This window comes from Homo sapiens, chromosome 3 (assembly GCF_000001405.40).
Source record: "Homo sapiens chromosome 3, GRCh38.p14 Primary Assembly".
In the NCBI taxonomy this organism is placed as follows: Eukaryota; Metazoa; Chordata; class Mammalia; order Primates; family Hominidae; genus Homo; species Homo sapiens.
Window position 1 is genome coordinate 119220912 of NC_000003.12, and position 27768 is coordinate 119248679.

The 27768-nt window shown below is 42.8% G+C and overlaps 1 protein-coding gene and 1 long non-coding RNA gene across 20 annotated transcripts in view, besides 3 other annotated features; one reads left to right on the plus strand and one right to left on the minus strand.

Moving 5' to 3' along the window:
* B4GALT4 (beta-1,4-galactosyltransferase 4) overlaps positions 1–19967 on the minus strand; it is a 29137-nt gene extending 9170 nt beyond the window's left edge. For 2 of the 19 annotated variants that reach the window (NM_212543.2, XM_047449127.1), the window contains exons 1-6: positions 19939–19967; positions 15942–16159; positions 14234–14316; positions 8936–9333; positions 5898–6130; positions 3147–3334 (exon numbers count right to left, since the gene is read on the minus strand). In NM_212543.2, the coding sequence (NP_997708.1) occupies positions 3147–3334; positions 5898–6130; positions 8936–9188 (674 nt within the window). In that variant the 5' untranslated portion in view covers positions 9189–9333; positions 14234–14316; positions 15942–16159; positions 19939–19967. Of the gene's footprint in view, positions 1–3146; positions 3335–5897; positions 6131–8935; positions 9334–14233; positions 14317–15241; positions 15341–15941; positions 16160–19287; positions 19634–19653; positions 19784–19853 lie in introns of those variants that run through there. The other 17 variants (NM_003778.4, XM_047449125.1, XM_005247855.1 and 14 more) reach the window with 15 other exon arrangements.
* Positions 4377–4549: a silencer, noted in NCBI's record as "fragment chr3:118944135-118944307 (GRCh37/hg19 assembly coordinates)". NCBI's record gives its function as "represses an EF-1alpha promoter that drives an FKBP-Casp9 reporter gene in an ReSE screen in K562 erythroleukemia cells {active_cell/tissue: K562}" and the evidence as "EXISTENCE:reporter gene assay evidence [ECO:0000049][PMID:32094911]".
* B4GALT4-AS1 (B4GALT4 antisense RNA 1) overlaps positions 5575–27768 on the plus strand; it is a 64181-nt gene continuing 41987 nt past the window's right edge. Inside the window, exons 1-3 of the long non-coding RNA NR_046574.1 lie at positions 5575–5770; positions 9234–9446; positions 14121–14229. This is a non-coding gene — a long non-coding RNA (B4GALT4 antisense RNA 1). The remainder of the gene's footprint in view (positions 5771–9233; positions 9447–14120; positions 14230–27768) is intronic.
* Positions 19654–20133: a silencer, noted in NCBI's record as "silent region_14625". NCBI's record gives its function as "represses an Ori minimal core promoter by ATAC-STARR-seq in GM12878 lymphoblastoid cells {active_cell/tissue: GM12878}" and the evidence as "EXISTENCE:reporter gene assay evidence [ECO:0000049][PMID:35858748]".
* Positions 20784–20833: a silencer, noted in NCBI's record as "silent region_14626". NCBI's record gives its function as "represses an Ori minimal core promoter by ATAC-STARR-seq in GM12878 lymphoblastoid cells {active_cell/tissue: GM12878}" and the evidence as "EXISTENCE:reporter gene assay evidence [ECO:0000049][PMID:35858748]".

Sequence of the window (27768 nt, forward strand, 5' to 3'; positions counted from 1 at the left end):
GGAGGTGGAAGTTCCAGTGAGCCAAGATCGCACCGCTGCACTCCAGCCTGGGCAACAGAGTGAGACTCTGTCTCAAAAAAAAAAAAAAAGGAACTGTTTCTCAGGTGCCTGTCAGATGACAACTATCTCTGTGTTTATTGATCTTTGCTTTTGGCTTTTCTTCTTACCTGTAAAAGCATAAATATTTAACTGGCCCTGGAACCTTTTTATTTATTTTTAAAGCCCTGTAAGGCCCAAGGGTGGGGAAAACGTAGTCATAAAATAACAATAGAATCCTTGTAGGAAGGAGGCTGGTACCAAAGGAGTTCTTGCCAGTAAAATTTGCCACTGGCTGGTCCAGAGCTTCATCACTGATCCCATAGGCAGTGAGAAACAAGATTTGTTTCTGGCTTCATCAGAGTCTGAGAGACTTGGGGCAACTTACTTTAACTTCTTCCCTCTGCATGTGTGTAAGGTGAAAACCTTTCTTGCGCTTGTACTTGTGGGGCTGGTGTGACAGTGATGAGGCATGTACTGACTTAAGCTCTGTGGCACTGGGGCACACAGTTGCCAGCACGGGGCAGACACTCAGCTGCCTGGAAATGAACTTGCCTGCCACAGGGACTTTGCCCAAAGCAGCAAAATCAAGTAGTCCAGGAGGAAGGCAACTCCTACCTACATTACTTATACATACCTCTCTCCAGCCACAAAAGATGAGGCTGCTTACATGATACATACAAAAAAGAGAAAATCATAAATGATAAACCAGGACCCTAGAAACATTTAAATCAGAATAGAAAATTAAGATGGGAAATACATTAGAACCCTGATCTGCAAATAAGATTCTTTTCAATTTCTAAAAGAGGGCCATGGATTTGGCTCAGAGCCTCTCGATCAAAAGGGGAAACACATTCAATTACCTGAATCATATTAAGAAAACCTGTCAGTTACTCAACAAAGGCTTTCTGATACCTAGTTATAAAAGAAACATCTGGCCAGTTAGAATGGCAAGTTAGAAACAGCAAGAGTCATACATATGCTGTTTCTCAGAGTGAGCGGCATCTGATGAAATCCATGACTGTGACACCAAAGCATGAGTGAAAATCAGTTCCTGGCAGGAATGTCCAAGAGCTCAGCCTTCTTATGGTTCAGCTTAATAGAAAGATAAAATCTAGAATCCCAGCAAAAAACCTGTCCTTAAGCAATCCTCTGTGATTGCTTAGAAATGAATGGTGCAACCAGGTGTTTAAAAAAATCTGGGCAATGGGAAGTTTAAGATTATCATCTATGGTAAGTGTCTAAGGTACAGGTGTTCTGTGTTGTAAATAGTGACATCTTACTACAGAGTAAGTGAACAGATGGTGACATGCTTTTGAAAAAACCAAGTTGCCCAGCCATGATACACTGCTTTCCTCAATGCAGAAGTGACTCAAAGAAACCAGAAAACAAAACCCCTAGATAATAAGATTAGATCCAAAGATCAAGTTTCCCCAAAGAAAAAAATCATGGGATTCTCTCCTTGCCCTCTGGATCCACAGCCCCCGCCCTAACTCAGACATGTGGCGTCTCTCCCCTCAGCTTTCCCCTCTTCCCTTGCTTCATCTGATACATTCAAAATCAGCTGAACCAAGCTTTCTCCCATCCTTCCCCAGCTGTAACGTGTCAACAGCTCCCCAACCCCTGCCACAGCAACTTCGAACTCCATATCAGACTAAAGAAGGCCTGCGTAATCTGGCTCCTGCTTAGCCTCAGTTCTTGCCTCTCCTCGCAGACATTCCTTCTAGAATACCAGTGAACTATTGCATTTTCCCCAAAACTGCGCTGTGCTCTCTGGCATGTCTTGGAACTCTGCTGAGAAGCTCTTGTTGTTCCACAAGATTAAGGTACCACCTTACCTGGGGAACAGCTTTAAACCCTTCCCTTCAAGGTGTTTCTTAAAGACACTGTGCTCTCACCCACCATAGTTTGTTCTAGGTGTTTATGTCCTGCAGCTTACACACAGCCGGGGTTTAAAGTCAGTACCTGAGGCAACAGTCACCTACATCAATGTTACTTAAGAATTCTCTTAAATTGCCCAAAGTGAGAGAGCAACACAGAAGCCCAGAACAAATGAGGTATCAAGAGACTCACTTTCCACTTCACACTCACGTAGAGTACATACTGGTGGAATCTCCAGCATTATTTGATAGTTTCACAGTTCTTTCTCTCCTGCCTTCTTCTTCCTCTCTTCATTTGTCCCTCTCTCCCCTCCTTACCAAGTGCTTATAGTTGTATTTGCAGAAATGCAAAATTAACGCAACTCCACTGTAGCTACCTGTCTCCCCACACTGACACTCAACGGGGAGCCCTGTGAGGGCAGGTGCTCTGCCTTATTCAAACTGGTCTTATGGCCTCCAGCACAGTCAGCACCACAGATATGAGCACCCATGAACAGCAGGGCCTGGGGAAAGCTGACAGGTAAGTGTGCACACAAATGAGGGAATATAGTGTTTCATTTGCAGAGAAACATTCTGTGTCACTATTCCCGCTTGGTTGTGCTTGAATAGGAGCTGGTGAATCAAATAAGGCTGAAAAGCAGCTACACCCTTCTTAAGGGTGGAGGGGATGGGGAATGAAGACACAGATGATGGCATCTGGCACTTCTCACAGTGGCTTTGAGAGAAATGAACTTGTCCTGGGTGTCCTGGCTCCCGAGAAGACTACTCAGAGGACATGCCCTCCCCCACCTCTCCCCATACTCTAGAAAGAGGCCACAGTCTGGAAAGTGATGTCTCAACAGAGGTCTCACTAAGGACACCAGCCTGTTGCCTCCTAGAGGGGGAGTCAGGAATAGACAAACAAGTTACTTGCATTCTAGTCAGTGTGGGAAAGCTTGCGAAAGCCCCCCGACAGGGGCGCTGCGGGTGAGACTGGCCACCACCTGCAATGCTTGGATGATATTTCTCTCCAATGCTTTCCCTTGTCTTTGTGATCCTCTGCTGAAGTTGTAGGGCTTTTTCCTCATTACATTCTCTAACTTCTGTTTTGCACTTTAAGTGATGCATACATTATGGACCATTTTTTCTATTTCTCATTTTCTTATGACACTCTGGATGCTTGTTCCACCCAGTCTTGATCACAATAGTTGAGCTTCTCGACCTAAGCCACCCTCAGCAGAACCACCTTACCTGTACCCAGTGCTGTTCCTGCCAACCACCAGATGCTTGGGATGCTCCTCACACTTGTAAAGGTTAAAGTCATTCTCGGGTACCAGGTCCACATCGTGGAATATAAAGCAGTCCCAATTTTCTTCCTTGAGGGCTTCTAGATAGCCCACATTCAAGAGTTTGGCTCGATTAAACTTTTTACCTTCAGCCTAGAGATATGAAAATTAAAACTTGAAAAGCTCCTGAGATAAAGTTTCATATTGTTTGCCTCTTAGTTAGGATTCAGGAGATGGTATTATTCTAATTATTCTACGCACGAGACTACACTTGTGACATAAAGATCTGACAGAGAAGATGCAATGACAATAAAAGACCATTTGATTTTTTTCTTCGTGCTTCACACATACTTATATTCCAGAACTTAGAAACAGTCCTTGAAATCCAAAGACTTGTTGTTTAATGATAGAGAGTTCCAGTTTTGCAAGATTAAGTTCTGGAGATTGATTTCATAAATACACTGCATATATTTATGCAACCAATATATTGCATAATTATGCATAGATACATTGCATGTAAATATTCTTAACATTACTAAACTGCACACTCAATAATAGTTAAGATAGCAAAAATTTTAAAAAGTTAAAAAAAGTTAAGATGGTAAATTTTACATCGTGTGTTTCACAATTAAAAATTTTTTAAAAGCAGCTTTAAAATACAAATAACTCAAATAATCAATAATAATGTACACTTAAAATGTATTGAGTATAGCTCTCATGTTAAATATTCTTACCACAGTTAACAAAAAAAAATTTTCTCTTAAAATTTTACAAATACCTTTACGTATTCTGTATAAAACTACAAAACCTTTCTTATATACTAGTCATGTCAATTAGTATTACTGCTTCACAGTTCAACCCTAGGTAATCCCAATCTTACCCTCTGTTATGAATTTACACTAAGCTTCTAAGAGACTTAGTTAATAGCTTGCCAGAAAGGATCAAGAAATCTCAACCTATAGAAAGAGAAAGTTATTGCTAATATTTCTAAGCTACTTTAAAGTTTCTCAGAAATCCCTGTAAGAGAATCCTGTTATAATGCTACTGGTGGAGGCTAATCCTCACAGTGGCCTTATGGAGGTAGATTCGTCACTGGGCAATAAAAGAACACAGTTTGACCTGTAATATGATTGAAGCTGTAATAAAAAAATTAAATAATTTTTTCATGGCTGCTTCATTCAAATTCCTTCAGAATGAATTCCAGTTAAGTGGTTTATCATAAAAGTGCAAGTATTTCTCAGAAGTTACCACAATGTTTTCCTGATAAGAATAACACGAAGCAGACATATTTTTCTCTTTCTCTTTTTCTTTTTTTTTAATTTGAGATGGAATCTCGCTCTGTTGCCCAGGCTGGAGTGCAGTGGTGTGATCTTACCTCACTGCAGCCTCCACCTCCTGGGTTCAAGTGATTCTCCTGCCTCAGCCTCCTGGGTAGCTGGGACTACAGGCATGTGCCACCACACCCAACTAATTTTTTTTTTTTTTTTAGTATTTTAACAGAGTATTTTGTATTTTTAGTAGAGACAGGGTTTCACTATGCTGGCCAGGCTAGTCTCAAACTCCTATCCTCAAGTGATCCACCCACCTTGGCCTCCCAAAGTGCTGAGCCACCGGGCCTGGCCCAAAGCAAACATGTTTTTCTATTCATAAAAATAGTACTATACCTTGTAGGTTACTGTCCTGAGCAAGAACTCAGAATCAAATAAATCATAACTATGACCAACAACCTTAAAAACAAAAATAGCTATAAAACAATATAATAGTAACATTTTGTTCCAAGTACTAAAATACAGACATAGGTGTGCTATATAAGCACACTGATTTTCAAGAGCCTCAGTTTATCACCAAGTCTATACTGCAGAGCTGGTCCTCTGAGTTGTCCAAAGTTTTATCTAAAAGAAATATTACCTGTTCTAACAGTAGTGATGATTTTGCTGACATTCTTAGAATTTATAAGAATTTGAGGGGGAATTATCCCTCTTCTTGGCCTCCTTGGATGGCCAAGGATAACTGTGAAAAGTTTAGACACTGATGTTTAAACTGATGTCTTAGTTTTCTTTCAATAAACTTTAATGCCAAATAGAGGTATCTTTAATCATCCACTCCACTGACCTCAGAGGTAAGCTCTTCAAAAGCAGCCGATAGTTATGCTGTGCTCCTACCAAATCATGCTTCTGGAAGTCAAATAGATGAATCCAGAAAGTGAAAATCAAACATAATATGTTTCACATAATAAATAGTGGCAAAGTTCAGGGCAGAAATGTGGTGGCAGCCATAGAGCACCACAGCTACTAATACAGAATGTTCTTTCAAATCCTCTGTCTAGATCCCCATTGAGTTGCTATGGTTGATAATGACAGACAATTCCAGAATCTCATCATATAGTGCATGGCACGCACAGAAAGAAACAGAAGGGGCCAGGAAGCCTCCGGGGAAATCTGAGGGCAGTCATTGGCTAACATGGAAGGGCTCACAAAACAGGCTTCCTCCAGAGGTTCCTTTAAGGGCAGTAAAATTTCCCAGAACTTGAACCCATAACTCCACACTCTGAGACAAGAATTTCCTCTACTCCTTTCAAGGATAAATGAGGTAAGAGAACTCGTTTTTGATGATAGTCTGATGTTCCTTTTACCCAACATAGACAAACAGTCACATGGCCAAGTCTGGCAGAGAAGAGGAGGGTCGAGGGCAGGCCCTGGTCTGCCCCCACGCTCACCTGGTGGATGACGTAGATGCCATAATCCAGCTGCTGCCTCTGCAGGAAGGGATGCAGATGTTCCAGCAGGTACATCAGGTGTTTCTCTCTGTTCCGGTGGGGAACGAGGATGGCGACCCTCTGTAAAGCTTTACATTCCTGAGGGCGATACCGGCCTCTGGACACTTTGGGATTTTCTGCCTGTACCTCTTCCAAAGTGAGATCTGGTTTGAAAATGAGCTTGCTCTGGCCTCCTACAATGAACATAGGACACAGACAATAACAGTAGCTACTTCAAAAAGTGTTGAGGTTTACACGAGCTAATATGCATAGAAAGAACACTGCCCAGCTCACAGTGAGTACTACAAATGTCAGCTTTTATTATGATTACTTTAAAGGCTCATTTAGTCATGATAATGGCCAGAGCATCATGTCACTAAGGTTACTGGCTGCAAAAGCAAGTGGTGGATATATAATATAAGCATTTCCTTGTGGCTGGGTAATCAACTTGCTCTATGATCCATCTGTAAGAGGGAATATCCTGGTGAACTCTGGTAAGAGCAAAGGGCAGGGCTAGACAGAGTAACTTCAACTTTGGTCTATCCTCTTTTCCTTCACCAAATTCCAGGAGGAGGGGAAAATCTCTTAAATATCAACAGCATTCCACAGAATCAAGCTCCTGGACAAGGCACTCTTCCCACCCCTTCCCTAAACTCTGGAACCACCCTGGCTCCCTGTAAGCAAAGCACTAAAAAGAAGTAGAAACCAGTCTCCCTCCCTAACCCAGCTGTAACAGGTATGTGTGGCACTGCAACAACTCTCCCATTTTGCCACCACAACAGACGTTTCCAATCGAGCACAGTATTTGCTCAGTGTCTGGAAGCAATCCAAACAGATGAAACCCAAAGCCATCCACAGGAGGAAAACAGCTCAGGTTTTTTTGTTTGTTTGTTTCTAAATTCCACGTATACTGGTCAGGCTGTAAAATCTCAAGATGCTTGCAAATTGAGCTATCCCCTTCTGAGTAAAGCAGTCATAGGCCCTTCCTGTGCGAAAGTCGCCATGACTTGTTCCATGTAACCATCCCCTACCCTGGCCATGGCTGCTTAGACCAGGCTCACGTGTCTAATGGCACCTTGGTGCTCTGCTCAACAGCAGGCAAGGTAAGTAACTTCTTCAAGCCACCCAAAGAGAATAATTGGCCTACGAGAGCCTTCCTGCAGGGTCTACATGCAAGACACAGCAGTCAGTAATGCCCTAAAAACAAACAGTAAGGAATGGAGTTACACAGATGACAACTACTAGAGCTGATGCTGGGCTATCGAGCTACCAGAGATAATGGGGTAGCTGTTGAGATGGTCTCCTGTGTGGCCTGTTCACAATCCCCATCGTTAACCTGACTGTGTCTCTGTTCTTGCGCGCTCAAAGAGCCTCACGCAACAGGTCTAATATAAACTAGTCCCCCGGCTCACCTTCTCATCGTCATAACTTTTTACGTGCCCTAACCTAGTATCTGCTTCCACTTACTCTCTATCAGTCTCCCTATCACTCCCCCTACCCCAACATCTTCTCAAGATCTGCCCCTCCTTGGGTCACTAATGGCCCATTTTAAGTCATCACCAACCACATCACCTTTAGTCCAGTACTTGCCCAGTAATGCATCACTGTCCCTCTATTCTTTATGAATGAATTTACTGTTTAAATATACTGTGAGCATTTTAAGCAAGGGGAATAATCAGCCAGTAAAATTTGCATTTCCCTGACTCATTTTTACATCGCAGCTTGTATAATCTGTGAAGGAATACACAATCAGGAATAACACTTTGACTCTTCCATGACTAAAGAGAAGCAGCATGCCAATATGAATACAATACAGGACTGTGACTCAACTAGGAAAGGGGTACACAGACTGAATGTCTGTGTCCCCAAAAATTCATATGTTGAATTCCTAATGCCCACTGTGGGGCCTCTGGGAAGTAACTAGGTTTAGATGAGATCATCATAAGGGTGGAGCTGCCAGGTGGGATTAAAGCACTTATAAAAAGAGCAAGAGGCATGAGATCTATCTATCTCTGTCTTTCTCTCTCCCTCTCTCTTTCCCTTTCCCCCTGCATGTATGTGTGTGCGCACACACACCAAGGAAAGGCATGTGAGGACAATATCCAGTAAGAGGGCCCTGACCATGCTGGCACCCTGATCTTAAGACTAATTTACTGTTTAACATAAGTTGAGAGGCAAGACATAAAAGGTGAACCAAAACATACAACATATTTAAGAAATAAACACTAAAGACCACATTGAAAAACTTACCTAGTCTCTGTCCCTTGACTCCATAGTTTTGGCCAAAGGAATACAACAGATGTGACCCCACTGAGGCTTGAATGTGCTTGCATTTCTCCTCTCATGCTCTGGTGCTCTGCTGATGCCATGAGGAGAACATACCCAGGCTAGCCCACTAGTTTCAGGAGGAGGACAGGAGGCACATGGGGCAGAGCCACCAGCCTAGATCAATGGACGCTACTAATGTGTGCTGCTAAACTTTTGTGGCTGGATAATAAAAGTGGGTCTGTTCCTATGACGGAATACTATACATCAATGAAAATGGACAAACCATAGCTGCACGCAACCATAAGAACAGATCTCACAAAAGTAACGTTAAGCAACAGAAGCCAAATACAAAAGAGTACATAACGTATGCTTCCGATTTGTAAAGTTCCAAAATAGGAAAAATCTAATGTGTAGAGTTAGAATCTTGAAGCCGGAGTGGTGACTGAAAGAAACATGGGAGTTCCTATGGTTCCAGCAAGATTCCATTTCTTAATTTACATGCTTGTTAAACAAGTATGTTCATTTTCTGAAACTTAACCAAGTGGTACACTTCTGAGTTTTGTACTTTCTTGTACATGTTATATTTATTTTATTTGAATGTATAGTTTTTGTGACACAGGAGATATATATATTTATGGGGTACATGAGATGTTTTGATACAGGCAAGTACATATTATACTTAAATAAAAAGTTTGCATACTACTTAATCAAAGGAAAAAAGCAACACTTACTGAGGTAAGGAGACACAGAAGGGCAGTTGTCAAGTTCTACCTTCTTCGTGGATGCTTCATTAGTCAGAGTTTTTCCCTTCCCCAAAATGAGGGTCTTATGGAAATTAGCCATGAACTCCTTTGCTTTAGGAATCTCTTGAATGGCACCCACGAAGTAGTTACTGGTGGCCCACCCAACCACTGTCAGGCACAAAGTCAACAGCAACAGTAATCGGAATTTGTAGGAAAGGTGGAAAGTCAGGTTGAAGCCCATGTTTTTTATTACGTGAATAATATCTATCTCTCTGCTTCACTGCAGGCAAGAAAGCTTCAAGTTGAGCTTTTCCAATCTGATTGCGAACTTGATGACAACTGAAGATACAATGCCTGGTTTTTCTCAGTAGTTCTGCTCCAACAGTCTAAAACGCAATCACAAAAGACACGTTGTTTCAAATGGAAATTCTATCCTGAAGTGATTCACTCCAGCACAAACTGAAAACCCATCCCCGATGGACCTTGACTAACCGTAATGGTAGGTCTTCCACTTAGCATTTAGAGATTCGAAAACCAGAGGTTTTAGAGGTTCCAAGCATCAATACATCACAGAAGCACTCTCTAGTTTATCAGCCAGGCTGTCTGCCACCCAAGAAGGGAAGCAATTTCCAAATGTTGGACAGAACAAATAGGCAAAGGAGACAAGGAGACTGCAAAGACCTGAGCTGGACACAGCCTAAGACATAGCCCTAATGGTTCTCTGCCTCAGTTGCCCCTTCCTGGCACAGTTTTAAGGAGGATTTAAAAAAATGTGAAGCCTTGTTACAGAAGCACATTTTGACCCAAAGAGAAAATAAGGGAAAAGGGAAAAGTTCTTCTCCCCTGTGACAGCTAGAAAAACATGGTCCTCAACAACAGGGAATGAATGCTATATTCTCAAAGAGGCACTGGCACAGGGCACATTGCAATGGGGGCCAGGAGGGAGTCTGTCAAGAAACATTATGAGAATCCCAAACAGGAGGTCAACAATCTATCTGTAAGAATAACAAAACTACAGCACAGTGTTTAAGATCAGGAGTTTGGACTTAGACAGAAACTACAGCTCTACCACATAACAGCTACATAACCTTGGGCCAGTCATTTAACTAAGCCTCAGTTTCCTTATCTGTAAAATGGGGATAAAAATAGTATCTACCTAGAAAAGTTATTGTGGGGCTTAGATGACCTAATTTATTAATATGTAAAGTGTTATCCCACCTTGACCAACAAGTAGACACACTGAAACACCACTTTTTGTACTGTATTTCTCACTGTCAGCTGATAAATTGCCACTCTGATTTCATACTTCAGTAGCATGAGATGGGATAATATGAATTCACTTCTAAGAGGGGGCTATGCTCTTAATTATTGACAAAAATCATGTTTTTAAGACCACCTAGCTGAGGGCCCACCCTGGACCACAGAAAATACACTAAAGTGGTAAAGGCCACCTGACAAGGATACCTGGTTTGCCGCCAGCAACATCCACCATATCCTCTCTGTGTGGACAAATCACGTCTCTCCTCAAATTCTAAACATGTTCTCAGAAGAACACAGAAAATGCTAAAGCTAGGGCACAGATAATCTCCATAGACAAACATATTCTCAAACAAATAAAATGGAGACCAAAATATTTTCTATGCTAAATAATCACATGGAAACACTTATGATTAAATCTTAAATGACAAAAAGAAAAACAGAAAGTAAGCCCTATATCTGTGCTATGATTACAACTAACAATATATACAATTAAGGAAAGTCTAGAAAGCTAATAATAATTATATTAGGAGAATGGGATTCGCTGGGGTGGTTTATTTTTTCTCTTTTCTTTTTAGAATTTTTAATAATATATTTTATATTTTTAATAATTTTTATTTTTATAAAATTTATTTTATAAATTTTATTTTATTTAATAATTTTTAATAGTATATTTTATAAAATATAAAATAATATATTTTATATTTTAATATATTTTATATTTTTAGAATTTTTAATATATTTTATATAAATGTATATATTTTTGTATATCACATATTGTCATATTTACATATATTTTACATATATCATTTTATAATATGGCAGTCTTACAATGAAAACAAAGTGAATTTTTTTAATGGTGAATAGAGAGGCAGTAAGTAACTGTAAAAAACAACAACCACCTCAGAAACTCTCAAGATAGTTTCACACTTACTAAAGGATACAACTCCAGAAATTTAGTTTCAGGTTAGTTTGAAGGAAACCTAGAAAATATTTCTCTCTAAACACAATGCTATAGATGAAAAGGGAGGTTAGTTCTTGGGGAATGTTTGACCCAGGAAGCAATTAAACAATATGGCCTGTGTTCAGGGTCCTGTGAAGGTATCACAGGAAGTCAATGCTGAAAGCAGTAATAACAAATAAAAAGGGCAATTTATGTGTGCATTTACTCTGTGCCATGCACTGGGGTAAAATCACTTATATTAACCTATGTAATTCTCATTTAACCATATGATGTAAGAATTACTAGTCTCATCTTACAGGTAAGAAAAGGAAAGGAAGGTTTGGAGAGATTTAAGTACCTTGCCAAAGCCCACACGACTAGTAAGTGGTAGCGTGGGGTCTCCGCCCAGGTGCTCAGCTCCACATCCTTCACATGGATATTTCCTCTTTTCTCCCCTTGGTGCCTGGGTAGTCCCAACACAGACCCTTGAATATTCAGGTTCCCTTGGGGGCCTTCTACCTCTCTCCCACATCTGCCTTCCGTTTCCTAGGGACTGTCTGATCAAATGCCTTCCTGGAGGTCTGTTCTCTTCCCACCTGGTGACAGTAAGTCATCAGGTTCCTGGGGCCAATCAGACAACCTCTTGTGGACTTAATTGTAGGAGGCTTAAATGCTAGGATTGGCAATTTTTAAAATAAGGATCTTAATCTTAGAAAATTCAGACTGGGAACATTGCTTATCTTTATTTATTTTTTATTTTTATTTTTTGAGACAGGGTCTCACTCTATTGCCCAGGCTAGAGTGCCGTGGCACAATCTCAGCTCACTGCAACCTCTACCTCCCGGTTCAAGCAATTCTAGTGCCTCAGCCTCCCAAGCAGCTGGGATTACAGGCGTGCACCACTACGCCCAGTTAATTTTTGTATTTTTAGTAGAGCCAAGGTTTCACCATGTTGTCCAGGCTGGTCTTGAACTCCTGGCCTCAAGCGATCCATCCACCTTGGCCTCCCAAAGTGCTAGGATTACAGGTGTGAGCCACCGCACCCAGCCCTGGGAACATGGCTTTTCTAAGAGCTATTTTTAGAGGGAGAGTCCCCTGGAAGAGAGAATCGCCAAGTGGAAGGAGGTTATGACCATAAAATTACTGCAGTGTTGAAATCAGAAAAGATCTTAAAGACCACACATCCACCTCCCTCATTCTACAGAGTGGGAAGAGATTTAAAAACCTACCCAAGGCACGGGGTACATGGGAAATCTCTGTATCTTCTGCTCAGTTTGGTTAAGAATCTAAAACTGTCCTAAAAAATACAGCTGAACCTTGAACAACATGGGTTTGAACTGCACGGCTCCACTTATACTCAGATTGTTTTCAACCAAATGCAGACCAAAAATACAATATTCCCGGTATGCAAAACCTGTGTATACAGAGGGCCAACTTTTCCAATATGTGGGTTCCTCAGGGCTGACAAAAGGACTTGAGCATGCATGGATTTGGGTAGATGCAGGGGTCCTGGAGCCAATTCCTTCCATATACTGAGGGATGACTGTAATTTAAAAAAACAAAAACAAAAAAACCTATCCAAGAATAGCTGCAAATATTCATAAACTAATATTGCTCAACTGCAGCTTACAGACTCTGTTCAAAGGTAAGACATTTATTCTAAAAGCAAGGAGCCATTATTAATAATTACTTAAGTATTAGGCCTTCATTACTAATCCTGCTTCTGAGACATCTGACCCAGTTAAAAATAATTCTTACCTATCTTTCTAAGTCTAAGTGCTCTCCCAAAAACTGTACAGAGAGCCAGCATAAGGAAGTTCAGAAGTAAGGTTTCCTTGGCTCCTGTGAGTAAACATCTGAAGTGTGAAGGGTCTGTCATCTGTCTGTCCATCTATGTTTCAAGAAAGACCAGCCAAGTGACTGGAGGCAACCCCTCTCACCGTTGTGTCCCAGCTATAAAATGATGAAAAATATTTATCTCACAAAGTTGCTCTAGGAATTTAATGAGATGATGCACCCAAGTACACTGTTATATCTGGTACATTTCCAGGACACAAGTTTTTTTTTTTTCTTTTTTGAGACGGAGTCTCCCTCTGTCGGCCTGGCCGGAGTGCAGTGGTGTGATCTCAGCTCACTGCAACCTCCGCCTCCCAGGTTCAAGCGATTCTCCTGCCTCAGCCTCCCAAGTAGCTGGGATTACAGGCATGCCCCACCATACCCAGCTAATTTTTCTTTATTTTTAGTAGAGACAGAGTTTCACCATGTTGGCCAGGCTGGTCTCAAACTCCTGACCTCAAATGATCTGCCCACCTCAGCCTCCCAAAGTGCTGGGATTACAGGCGTGAGCCACCATGCCTGGCCAGGAACACATGTATTTATTGGCTCTAATTACCAATGTGATTCATGTTCAAATGTTATCAGAATATTGCCCAAGATAATGTTATCTCTGGGATTAATGAGATGATTTTTACTTTCTAACTCTGTAATTTCCATTTTTTCTTTTAATGAGTATGTAATATTTTTATAATTAGAAAAACATAATGACTTTTTAAAGAAAGTTATTTTTAGGGCAAGTGACTCCTGGTTGGTGTTTGGGAAAGTGCCATCATATTGGATTTATTTACACTAACATTTAAGTAATTGAGAGACCCTTAATTCTCACAGGAGTCTCAGAGTTATTTTCTTTTTCAGTCAAGGCTGTCTTGAAGTGCCAAGGGACTACATCATCAGTATTGAGAACAAATTCAGGCAACATGAAAGAAGTTATTTAGGGCAAGATTTACCACTCTTTTCCTTTCTAGAAGTCTGCCCCGTAGTTAGTTAAAAATGGTCATGTTTTCATATTTGGTTTTCCTCCACTCAATTCAACCAGTCTTTTTCTGACTACCTGCTATTTTCAAGCAAAGGGAAAACCATATAAAGAGAATTAAAGCCTAGTCTTTGTACTCAGGGTTTATTTCTATCTTTTTCTAGATCTCAATGTCTGCAATTTCCTGTCAAATATGAGAACAACATCCCAAAGTGGGAGAACAGATGAAACAAGACGGATAAAATACTGAGAAGTCTTGAATATAAGTGATAGGTACCTGAGAGTCCTTTCTTTCTCTCTACTTTTGTGAATGCTTGAGATTTTCCATAATAGTTTTTAAAATCTGGCAAGGAAGATAAGCTATAACAAAAGGAAAGGAAACATAAGTGCTAAGTATCATTCTTGGAGAATCTCTAACCACACACATTTTTACTCCACTAAAGTGGGTGGGGAGGACACCATGTATCACTCTAAAAATATTTACTAAGCATTTGCACCAAGGAGAAAGGGTGTGTTCATTCGGCAGCTATGAGCACCAAAATCAGCATTCCAACATCTCTGAACCTATCAGGTAATTTTGCAGACACAGGGCATGTGAGTGGGCTTGATGTTGTCCCAGGCACATGATCCTGATGCCTTGGGGCTCCCTGGGGCAACACCAGAAGAAAGACTGATTATTTTGCTACTCTTTTTACTCCTGCAGAGTTCCTAGGAGTTTACCTTTTACACACACATTGCCCCACTTTCCTTAGGCCTTGGTATTCATTATCCCAATTACAACTCCTTTAGGAGACTTCTAAATGATCACTGGCCAGATCCTAAAGGGACAGTGGTTCCCTGGGCAGGGTAGGAATGGGATAAAAATGATGACAGCCATTTACATGTACAAGTCATTTAAACCCAGAGATTAAGCTCCTAACAGCCCAACCTAGAAGCATTTGAGTAATTTAAAAAAAAAATGATGGCACTGTATTTTAACCCATAGGATAAAGTGACTATCCACTAGTCTACACTGATAAAAATGATCAAACAAATAAATGAATAGAAGAGAAGGGGCGGCTCTTTTCTTAAATTCCAACTAGTAAGAAAGTGAGCGATGGAAAAAAAATCACTCTCAGCAAACACCACTTAATAACTGTTGCAGACAAGGTTCACCAGTGGATGCTAAACTAACAGGCAAAAATTTGAGGATAAACAGTATAGTCTCAAAGTATCTTCCCCAAGATAATTCTTAACTACAAAGGGAAAGACAGTAACTTTGTAGTGGAGAAATCCAATCGCTCACCACAAGTTCATTCCACGATATACCTAACTGGTACTCTTCGAAGAATCAAAATCATGAAAGACGAGGAAAAACTGAGGAACTATTTCAGATTGGAGGAGACTAAGGAGAAAGAAAAACTAAATAAAATGCAGGATCCTTGATAAAATACAATGGGAACAGAAAAAAAAAACAGACATTAGTAGGAAAATTGATGAATTTTCAATAAAGTTTGTAGTTTAGTTAATAGTATTGATCAATGTAGTATGGTTATGTAAGGGGTTAATATTAGGGGAAGCTAGGTGAACTGTGTATCATTTTTACAACTTTTCTGTAAGTCTAAAATTAACTAAAACTAAAAATAAAGAGTCAGAGACTAGGTATAACCTGAGTCAACAAATGATAGTAAATTAACTTAATTCTCAAGGAGAATCATTGTTTTTGTATTCCTAGTGCCTCAAACCAACCTGACACATAGCAGGTACTCAATTTAGTAACAAATGACGGACTAGGATATACTAGTTGAAATACACAAGGACACATCATAATTCCAGGCTACTGCTAAAAGGAATGAAACATTAAAAAAGAAGGTGGGAAATAAAGATTAATAATATGAGTACAAAATTCCACCTGAGAAGGATTTTAAAAATTAAAAAGGCTCACCCCGATACTAGCTCCCTTCAGTTCACTAATATCAACACTTTTCTAAGGGTAGGGTCCTCACCTTTAACAAATGGCACTTTTGGTCACACCCACTGCCTTCCGCTCCTCTGCCTCTAAAAGTGATACTTCTCCTTGGCTTGGGGAGGAAGTGTTGCGTGGCCTGCCTCTTCCTTCATGAAGCCACAAAGTGCCACTGCGTGAGTTCCGTGGCACATTGGAACACAGTGTACCCGCCTCTGGGCAAGAGCCGTGGAAATCCACACATGAAGCCAGGTGGTCCTGCAACACCCAAACAACCAAAGTTATTTTGTGTAGTATATGTTATGCAGCATAATAGAGAATTCACCAGAATTTCTGATGGGAGGTTCCAATAGAAGTTCATTGTGTACTTATATGTGACTTTCAGCTGTCCCTAAGAAACCAACAGTGGAGTCAGTAGGAGTTTACTTTCTGCAGTCATTAGGGGCACCTCACCGTAAACCTTAAAAAGGTTTAAAAAGCTCTGAGATCATGGGTATAACAGGGCTCTGAAGTCACAAAGAGCTGAGTTCAAATTCTGGTTATCAGATGCATGAATGGCTTTTGACAAGTAACCTAAATGTTTTGAGTCTGTTTGGCCATTTATTTAAAAAGCATTTCTCAACATCTGGTTCCAAGAGAGCCTTTATCAAATACATAAAGGAATGTGTTAAAACTGCAGATTCCTGGGCCCCACTCCAAAGCCAATGGGTCAGAACAGCAGCCTCTAGGACTCAGAAAAATGAAATTTTAACAAGCTCCCCAAATGATTCTTATCTGCATTAAAGTTTGAGAACCACTGATATAAGAGAATGGACCTGGAATGCAATCAATCTTTCAGATATGTTAGTTTTCCCTCTGGTAAGGAAAAGCAGTAAGAAGATATGTGAAAATGAGATTTTAAAAATGTATTTGAAAGGTTTTTGATTCCATCATTTAGAAATGTATTCTAAGAAAATAATCAGAGAGGTATACCATGATATTCAAACCAACATTGCTAAAATAACCAAAAATTGAAGAGTCTAAATGTTAACAATAGCGATCTGATTTAATTAATTATAATACATCCATATGATGGGACATATGCTTTCATTAAAATGTTTACAATAACTACACAGAAAAATGCTCATAACAGCTAAGTAGAAAAAAAGATATAACAATGTATATGAAATAAAGACTGGGTGTGATGGCTCATGCCTGTAATCCCAGCACTTTGGAAGGCCGAGGCGGGAGGATCACTTGAGGCCAGGAGTTCAAGACCAGTTTGGCCAACATGTTGAAACCCCTCCTCTACTAAAAGTACAAAAATTAGCTTGGCATGGTGGCGCATGCCTGTAGTCCCAGCTACTTGGGAGGCTGAGGAAGGAGGATCACCTGAACCCGGGAGGCGGAGGCTGCAGTGAGCTGAGATCATGCCACTGCACTCCAGCCTGGGCATCAGAGACCCTGTCTCTAAAAAAAAAAAAAAAAAAAAGTATATAAAATATAATACCAATTATGCAATACATGTGTGTGTGCATACCTTTTACATACAAAATGATAGTCACTGGTGGTCATCTCTTAATTACAGTATTAGGAGAAAACTTCTATTTCTTTTGTATCTTCTAATTTTTCTAAAATGGAGTTTTCATCAACAGAAACAATATTGTTTTCTGATAAAATGACTACATAGTTTTCCTTTAAAATATAGTAGTCCTTGGTTTCACTTTCTGCGGTTTCAGTTAACCACAAAAAAATACGGTAAGATATTTTGAGAAAGAGATGACATTCATATCTTTTATCACAGCATATTGTAACTGTTCTATTATTAGATATTATTCATCTCTTACTGTGCCTAACTTATAAGTTATACTTTAGTATAGATATGTATGCATATATAGAAAAAAACAGCGTATATAGGGTTTGGCACTATCCACGGTTTCAGGCATCCACTGTCAGTCTTGCAACATATCCCCCAAGAATAAGGAGGACGACTGTACATTAAAATTTAAAGATAACATCACAGACAGGAATTATAACTTTTAGTTACATAAGTTTGACAATTCATTCATATAACCTTTAAGAAAACCTGTTCTAAATAGGCCAAAAAGCCCCAATCTCAAAGAAAAACTTCAGAGGCTGTTAGTAATCTTCAGTGCCAGAGAACACTGTGGTCTGTGTTTGAAATGCCTATTCCCAGGCTCCAGCCCCAGAGATTTTTATTTCAAAGGCCTGAAGTGGAGTCAAGAAATTGATATTTTTGCCTGGGCCCATGGTACACATCTGTAATCCCAGCACTTTGGGAGGCAAATGGATCACTTGGGGTCAGGAGTTCCAGACCAGCCTGGACAACATGGTGAAACCCCATCACTACTAAAAATACAAAAATTAGCCGGGAGTAGTGGCCTGGGCCTGTAGTCCCAGCTACTCGGGAGGCTGAGGTAGGAGAATTGCTTGAACCTGAGAGGTGTAGGTTGCAGTGAGCCAAGATTGTGCCACTGCACTCCAGCCTGGGCCACAGAGCCAGATTCCATCTCAAAAAAAAAAAAAAAAATTATATTTTTATCGAGAACCTAGGTAACTCTGAGTCACACAGCCAGGTTTTAGAAACCACTGTTCACTGATGGCTTAAAACAAAGAATAGAAAACCATCACTGATTTGCTTTGGATGTTTCCACTGAATAAAAGATCTTCAAAGAGAAGGTTAGTTCCCAAAACATTTGCATGCATCTCTGGAAAAGGCAGGCATTACTATTAGCTCGGCTTAAAGTAGATACTAAATACTTATTATATTAAGTGGCATATAAACTACAACCACAGAGCTGATTTTATTGCCCTCTCTATCCACTTCCCCTTAGATTATGTAGTCAAACAGTTCAATCCAGGTCAGTACTTTTTCACAACGTATGTTTTCAATCTGATCAAAGCTATAGGTAGACGAAAGTTATTGCAATTTCATGGGGTTTACAATTTCCATAAAGAACAAACCTGCTCTAGAAGACAAAATTCCAAAAACTTCTGAACTATATCCAATCAAGCATTATCTCCTCTCCCAAGAGAGACCTTCCAGCACTCCCCGCCTGGGTCTCGGGAATAGCCCTCCCTTCTGAATCCCAGTTTCTCAATCCGGACCCTGAATCCTATTCATCCTGATCTCTCCTTGATTTTCTTGCATCTTAAAGGTGTTATTTTCCTTTCTTTAAAAATTTAAAAAAAAAAAAAAAAGCCACAACTCGCCTCCACGCTCAGATTACCATTTTCTTTTTCCTCCTTTTCATCACCAAACGGCTGAGGAGGTCTACCAGTACCCTCACCACCGCCACGTCCCCATCCCTCACCCACTCTGGAACACTTTGCAACAGTGTGCACACCCACCCACTGTTGATAACTACTCTCCTAAGGCTACCAACCCATAGGCCTCTCCTCGATGCAGAGTCCTTTGGACTTTGTCTGTTTTTTTTCAAACCAAGAATTAACAGCCCTTATCTAATGGAAGACAGAACATCAAGGGATACAGATCAACAAACACTGGATGGCTGTCTCCGAAGTCTTTTATAATCCAGGTGACCAACCCCTTTGGAGAAAGGTCAAAGGTCGCCGGCCCCTCGCAGGACTGGGGCTGGTGTCAGCTGATCAGTTTCCCCGTTGAAACGCTGGAGAAGGAGGGTTTCCAGGAAGAAGGGGCTTTTTCAGGTTGATGCACCCGGCGGAGAAGTGCTGGGGGCGACCCCGGAATCGTGACCTGGGGTATGAATGAGCCCTGGATTTTTTCCTACCCGGCAGCACCTCGTCTGGCTCCCCCGGCCCGCAGCAGAGGCGGCGCCGCGCGGAACGCCAGCACCTGAGCCGGTGCCTCCCGCCAGGCTCGGCCTCCGTAGGCCCCCGGCCCGGCCCACCGCTCCGGCTGAGGCGGGACTGCCCCACGGACGCCGCCACGTCATCCCCACGCCCGCCCCGCTACAGCCCTGGGACTGACCCCGGCCGTCGCCCGGCTACCCTCGCACGGCGCCCGTGTCCAGGGAACTGCATTTCCCGGGCGCCGGCGGAGCCAGCGTACTCACCCCGGAGGCGGCCGCGGCGAGCTAGCACTGCCCGCGGAGAGGGGAGAACGCGGAAAGCAGCTCGGGGACCGCCCCAGCCGCCCGGGAGGCGGCTCTTGAGTACGAGCTCCGCCTCCCGCCTTGGCCGGAGAGGCTGGTCCGCCCGGCTCTGCACGCGCCTGGCGCTCCACCCCCGCCAAATCGACCACACCGGGCGCTGGAAGGAGCACCGGGAGGGAAACGGAGGGTTGACGCCTCGGCCTCTGGGTGGCTTTAAAACCCTGTGCCAATAGTAGACTGGGTGCTGAGCGCTTCCCAAATTCCATCCCCTTAAATACTCACAAAGCAGTAGGAAAGAGATAGGGACCCTTCCATTTTACAGAGTGGGAAACTGAGACTTTAGAGAGGCTAATAAACTTAATCACCCTGCGAGATTTCAGCCCTCTCAACTGCAAAAATGATAATAATAATAATAATATTTTTCCCATGTTGCAGGTCTGAGAATATTAAATGATTTTTTTAAATCCGTATTTCTTCAAAGATATTATTACAGAAAGCAAAGACAATTATATTTACACTAAAGATTTGAGTGAAAAATTATGGTAGGCTCTGTTTAGGCAGTCAGGATAGCTAGATTCTCTAATGCAGTCTCCCACTGCACTCACGGGAAAGTAGTAGATTCTCCAAGAACCACACATCCACTCCACCCAAAAAGGAACAAACCATAGCTAGAGCCAGTGCTGGGCTCATTAAGCTTCATAGCAGGAAATCTGAGGCTATACTGAGGCCGCATAGGCCCAATGTAGGCCCTTGGAAGCTGGAAAAGAGGGCCACCTAGTGGCAGTTGAGGATAGGTCAGTGAAATAGGTCAACACTGCTCCTGAACAAGGTCCAGTGTGAAACTTATTTTTTTGTGTTCCCTTTGTAACATGCTGTAAGGGTGTATAACCACATTTAGTGAAAAAGGACATTACTGGATTTCATCCAGTGGCGTTATACAATCAGTTACTTATACCCACATAGTCCCCAGGTCTTGAGCATATGATGCCTGGAAGCATAATATATACCTTTTGCAAGAATCACTCAGCTTTTCCCCTCCCCCTCCCCCTCTCTGTCTCCCTCCCCATCTCCCTCCCCCCTTTGCACGGTCCTCGTCTCCCCTTTGCATGGTCTCCCTCTGATGCCGAGCCGAGGCTGGACTGTACTGCCGCCATCTCGGCTCACGGCAGCCTCCCTGCCTGATTCCCCTGCCTCAGCCTGCCGAGTGCCTGGGATTGCAGGCGCGCACCGCCACACCTGACTGGTTTTCGTATTTTTTGGTGGAGACGGGGTTTCGCCGAGTTGGCCGGGCTGGTCTCCAGCTCCTGACCGCGAGTGGTCTGCCAGCCTCGGCCTCCCGAGGTGCCGGGATTGCAGACGGAGTCTCGCTCACTCAGTGCTCAATGTTGCCCAGGCTGGAGTGCAGTGGCTTGATCTCGGATCGCTACAACCTCCACCTCCCAGCCGCCTGCCTTGGCCTCCCAAAGTGCCGAGATTGCAGCCTCTGCCCTGCTGCCACGCCGTATAGGAAGTGAGGAGCGTCTCTGCCTGGCCGCCCATCATCTGGGATGTGGGGAGCCCCTCTGCCCAGCCGCCCAGTCTGGAAAGTGAGGAGCGCTTCTTCCCGGCCGCCACCCCGTCTAGGAAGTGAGGAGCGTCTCTGCCTGGCCGCCCATCATCTGGGATGTGGGGAGCGCCTCTGCCCCACCACCCCGTCTGAGAGGTGAAGAATGCCTCTGCCCGGCGGCGACCCGTCTAGGAACTGAGGAGTGTCTCTGCCCCGCCGCCACCCCGTCTGGGAGGTGAGGAGCGTCTCTGACTGGCCGCCCTGTCTGAGAAGTGAGGAGCCCCTCCGCCGGGCAGCTGCCTGGTCCGGGAGGTGGGGGGCAGCCGCCCAGCCAGCCGCCCCGCCCGGGAGGTGGGGGGGCAGCCCCCGCCTGGCCAGCCGCCCCGCCCGGCAAGTGGGGGGCAGCCCCCGCCCGGCCAGCCGCCCCGTCCGGGAGGTGGGGGGCGCCTCTGCCCAGCCGCCGCCCCGTCTGGGAGGTGGGGGCCCCTCTGCCCGGCCGCCGCCCCGTCTGGGAGGTGGGGGGCCCCTCTGCCCGGCAGCCCCGTCTGGGAAGTGAGGAGCCCCTCTGCCCGGCCACCACCCTGTCTGGGAGGTGTACCCAACAGCTCATTGAGAACGGGCCATGATGACGATGGCGGTTTTGTCCAATAGAAAAGGGGGAAATGTGGGGAAAAGAAAGAGAGATCAGATTGTTATTGTGTCTGTGTAGAAAGAAGTTGACATAGGAGACTCCATTTTGTTCTGTACTAGGAAAAATTCTTCTGCCTTGGGATGCTGTTAATCTATAACCTTACCCCCAACCCCCTGCTCTCTGAAACATGTGCTGTGTCCACTAAGGGTTAAATGGATTAAGGGCAGTGCAAGATGTGCTTTGTTAAACAGATGCTTGAAGGCAGCGTGCTCGCTAAGAGTCATCACCACTCCCTAATCTCAACTACCCAGGGACACAAACACTGCGGAAGGCGGCAGGGCCCTCTGCCTAGGAAAACCAGAGACCTTTGTTCACATGTTTATCTGCTGACCTTCCCTCCACTATTGTCCTATGACCCTGCCAAATCCCCCTCTCCGAGAAACACCCAAGAATGATCAATAAATACTAAAAAAAAAATAAATTTAAAAAAAAAAAAGAGAATGTAGGCCAACAATAAGCCACAGGATAACATCTCTGTCTGCCCAAATCACATTATGCTGAGGAAGTTTAATAATAAAGGAGAATAATAAAGGAGCCAAGCAAGTTAATCTAAAAAAAAAAAAAAAAAAGAATCACTCAGCTTTTCTATATTTGGTAGCTGGTAGGTTATTAATTGGAGAAGTTGGGTTATTGCTTTCAGTAAGTGTAGGAAAGCAAGTAGCAGTGATATCTACAAAATTAAAGATAGCTTTCCAATCTGCTTTTGAGGTTTTAGGGTGGCTTTCATTTCACAGAGAGGCATTGGCATTAATAAAATTGTTTCCTAGGGGTTTTTTTTTTGGCATCAGTCCAGAAACCCAACAGTTGCTCTAGTTTTTCTTGTTAGAGCATGAGCCTTAGCTAAAGCCATCTATAAATTATGGTCCCATGGATTTCCCAGCAGGAAATATGGAAAAAATAGAAAAAAAGATAAGATAGTCATGATAGCAGAGAAGTCTTGATCCATGATCTTGAGAAAGCTGTCCATGTCTAGGATGCCATCTGCTTCTGGGGAGAAACTTCCCTACCTTAAGATCTCCAACAGGTGTATAATTCCAAGAGTTTGAAGGGGCTCTTTTGAGTTACAAGGTATGGACCAAAACTCGAGGCCCTGAAGTTTTACTGTGGGTGGTGAGAGAAGTACATGATATAATCTCTTCTAATGGGATACAAGAGCAGTTTTTCTCAGATGGGATGTTATTTCCAGAAGACTCAATCTCTGAGTTCTAGATTGTGAAAGGTTGGTTGTACTCAGTGTATCACAAAAGGCTTTTACCTGGGGAAAACACACTTTCATATAATGGATTAAAGCTTTGCAGTATTTAGTTACAGCAAAGCTTATAAGAGCAGGAGATACATGAGAGTCTATTATTAAGGATATAGGTCTTCCCAGAACTAGTTTTTTGTCTACCCCATGATGAGTAATGGAGTACAGAGTTTTTAATAATGGAAGATTTAAGGACTCAGGAAGAACCAGGTGGCCATATGGGGCCTCCATGAGTCCACACTTAGCAATAAATTTACATCCTTTTAAATATGTTTTGGTTACCTAATGTTAAATAACAAGTTAATGGGTGCAGCACACCAACATGGCACATGTATGCATATGTAACTAACCTGCACGTTGTGCACATGTACCCTAAAACAAAGTATAGTAAAAAATTAAAAATAAAAAAAATATGTTTTGGTTTGTCTATCTGTTCTAAGATGGCAGGTAGTAGGCAGTGCTAGTGTGCCTCTCCCACTTGGAAGGACAGAACAGTGTGTAGCAATTAACACTGTGAACTTTTATTCCAAGAACCACTGCAGGAAGTTACCAGGAAATCAAAAGAATTCGCAGATCCTATGAAAGGAGCACACCACAGCAAAGTCTGTGAGACAGGCAAAAAACTGAATTCTCAGTGTAGGAAAAGGGGAGAGCCTGCCTCTGAACACACATTCCTACTGTGGAATCTGAAAATCCAGATGATGGGAGAAGGCTTTAGCCTTACCTAGAGCTGGAATGGACTTAGGGAGCAGCACAAAATACAAAAGTAGAAGCAGCAGCAAGAAGAGCCTTGGAGGCATTCTCAGTCTCCAGCTTGAGCCCAGGGAAGCCATCCCTGACCATATCTAACAGGGGCCCTCAGGGAAGGCAGCCACCAAACTTAGGAAGGAGTCACAGAGTGAAATAAGCTACCAACTGAGTTTTGTGGTAATTTCAAGTGGGCATGAGCACCCTTGAACAGAATCCAGGGGTGGGCGGACAAATGGAAACTAATGCAGATACAAGGGCAGAAGCTGGGCACCCAGCATTGCAGGCAGATGGGGAGGGGTGTGACCTGAAAGCCATGCTTTCTTCCTCAGCAGGGAAGCTCATGGCCCAGGGCAGGTCTGAGTTCTACACACCAGCTGCCTGGATCTAAACTCAGTGCTGTTAGTGGGGCACCATGGGAGCAAGACTGGCCTCACCAACTCTGTGGGAGCTGGATGAGGACTTTCACTATGAGCTAATCCCCACTCCCCTTGCAAACTCTACTGCACAGCAGAAGCAGCCATACTCTCCTCTAGAACATAACCCCATTGGCCTGAGATCCACCCCTCCTATCCCCCAGCAGGCCATGGCAGGCCTTGCCCAGGGAGAATCTGAACTCAGGCCCGCCCAACCCTGCCCCGACCTGATGGTATTTATCTACCTGCCTTGTAGCTTAACACAAAAGACATAAACTCTTGAGAGCCTTATGGCCCTGCCCATTGCCTGGGAAACCAGAATACTTCCCCTAGACAACTTAGGCCAAGCTCAAATGTCACTGCTACTACCACAGCTGGTGCTCTCTTGCAAGTGTCCCCTCCTGGCTGGAAGCCAGCCAACTCAGGCCATTACAGCAACTCTTGGCAGAATAACGCTTCTTCCAGGAAGGAGAAAACAACAGCTAATACCACTCACTGCAACACCCTGGCTAACTAAAGGTCCTGAGTCTGTCCACATGACAACTTCACCGCTAGCATAACCAGCATTCAAGAAAGCCAGCACACTGAGTCTATCTACAACCAAGAAATCTCACAGACTACATCACTCCCCTGCCACCTCCATCAGAACAAGTGTTGGTATCCATGCTGGGAAACCTGAAGACAGATCACATCACAGGACTCTTTGCAGACATTCCCCAGCACCAGCTCAGAGCCTAGCTGGGTGGCTAGACCCAGAAGAGGAATAACAATCACTTCAGTCTGGCTCTCAGGAAGCCCCATTCCTAGGGGAAGAGGGAGAGCACCACATCAAGGGGTCACCCCATGGGACAAAAGAATCCAAACACCAGGCCGTGAGTTCCAGATCTTTCTACTGGTGGGAAGTTTCTCACAGCAGAGACACAATTGCAGTGCTGGGTACAGTAGAGAAAGTCTGCACCTCTACCCCAACAGGCAGGTGGCCTGTGTGATTATGAAGGGCACTAGAGAAGGCATCCTTGTTCCCCCTGGCACTACACTGCAGACACAGCTGAAGCTTCTTCCACAGGAATGCAGCATAGAGGCAGCTATAGACAGCCTTGCTGGAACAATCCAGGGTAAGCACAAGCCCCACAGGAGAAGCACCCCCCCAGATTCAAGCCTGCACAAGAGGCAAGAAACATCAACATTCCTGTAGATGAAAAGAGGTCCTGACTGATCTGAATAGCTGAAACACTGGGACAGGAATGAGACTGTGAGGTGAATAGCTTGATGACCTGAGAAGGGAGCTGAGGTAGCTCCTACTCCTCACCCTGATAAAACCTCAGGACATCAAATTGTGAGCTCCCGCAGCCATCCTCATCAAGGCTGGGGCCTGAGCCCACCATTGGGATTATATCTATTCACCTGCTTTAGCTACAACTAGTACCTACCCAAGAATACCTCCCCTATTGGCCTGAAGCCTGAATCGTCAACTCAGTAAATAAAATACTGGGGAAAAATTAAACAAATAAATATAGACCACAAGAGAATGAGATAAGCTTCAAGAGATCCCTGCCATTCCAAGTTCATAGGAGACAGTGAACTTGCCCACATACCAAGTACATAACTACTACAATCAGCATCAGGAGAGCCAGCACACAAAGACTCTCTATAACTAAGGAACTCATACAGAGTCTTCACCCCTGCAAGCACCAAGAATCAAATTAGACTGGAATAAATATTAAGGTCTAATCCTTAAGAGGGAAAAAATAAATTAAAAAAGCACAATCCCATCAAAAATAAATTCAAGAACAATTTGAAGAAATAGTCTACCAAAAGGAACCAGAAAAGTAATTCTGATAATATGACAAAACAGGGTTCTATGATACCCCCAAAATATAGTAGCTCCCCAACAATGGATCCAAACAAACAAACAAAAAATCTCTGAATTGCTGATAAAGAATTCTGAGGGTTGATAATTAAGCCACTCAATGAGAAGCCAGAGAAAGATGAAAACCAAATTTTCATTTTTTTAAAAGAAATTTAAAAAACAATACAGGATATGAATGGAAAATTTTTCAGAGAAATAGATATCATAATGAAAAAGCAATCACAACTCCTGGAAATGAAAGACATACTTACAGAAATACCAAATACAGGGGAAAGTTTCAACAATAGACTAGAACAAGTAGAAGAAAGAACTTTAGAGCTCAAAGACAAAGCTTTCATATCAACCCAATCAGACAAAAAAAAAAAAGAAAGAAAGAAAAAGAATTTTAAAAAATGAACAAAGCCTGCAAGAAATATGGGATTATATTAAATGGCCGAAGTTAAGAATAATTGGCATTCCTGAGGAAGAGAAATCTAAAAGTTTGGAAAACTTATTTGAGGGGATAATTGAGGAAAACGTCAATGGCCTTGCTAGATATCTAGACATCCAAATACAAAAAGCTCAAAGAACTCCTGGGAAATTCATTGCAAATAGACCACCACCAAGGCACATAGTCATCAGGTTATCTAAAGTCAAGACAAAGAAAAGAATCTTAAAAGCTGTGAGACTGGCTGGGTGTGATGGCTCACATCTGTAATCCCAGGACTTAGGGAGGCCAAGGTGGGAGGATCAACTGAGGTCAGAAGTTTGAGACCAGACTGGCCAACATGGTGAAACCTCATCTCTACTAAAAATACAAAAATTAACCAGGCATGGTGGCACATGCCTGTAATCCCAGCTACTTGGGAGGCTGAGGCAGGAGAATTGCTTGAACCTGGGAGGGAGAGGTTGCAGTGAGCTGAAATCATGCCATTGCACTTGAGCCTGGGCAACAAGGGTAAAACATCATCTCAGAAAAAAAAAAAAAAATCTGTGAGACAAAAGCATCAGGTAACCTATAAAGGAAAACCTATCAGATTAACAGCATATTTCTCAAAAGAAACCTTAGAAGCCAGAGAGGACTGGGGTCCTATCTTTAGCCTCCTTAAAGAAAATAATTGTCTACCAAGAATTTTGTATCCAACAAAACTAAGCTTAATCAATGAAACAGAGATAAAGGTTTTTTCAGACAAATGCTGAGAGAATTTGCCATTACCAAACCAGCACTACAAGAAATGCTAAAAGGAGTTCTAAATCTTAAAATACAATGTTTAAATACACCAATATAGAACCTCC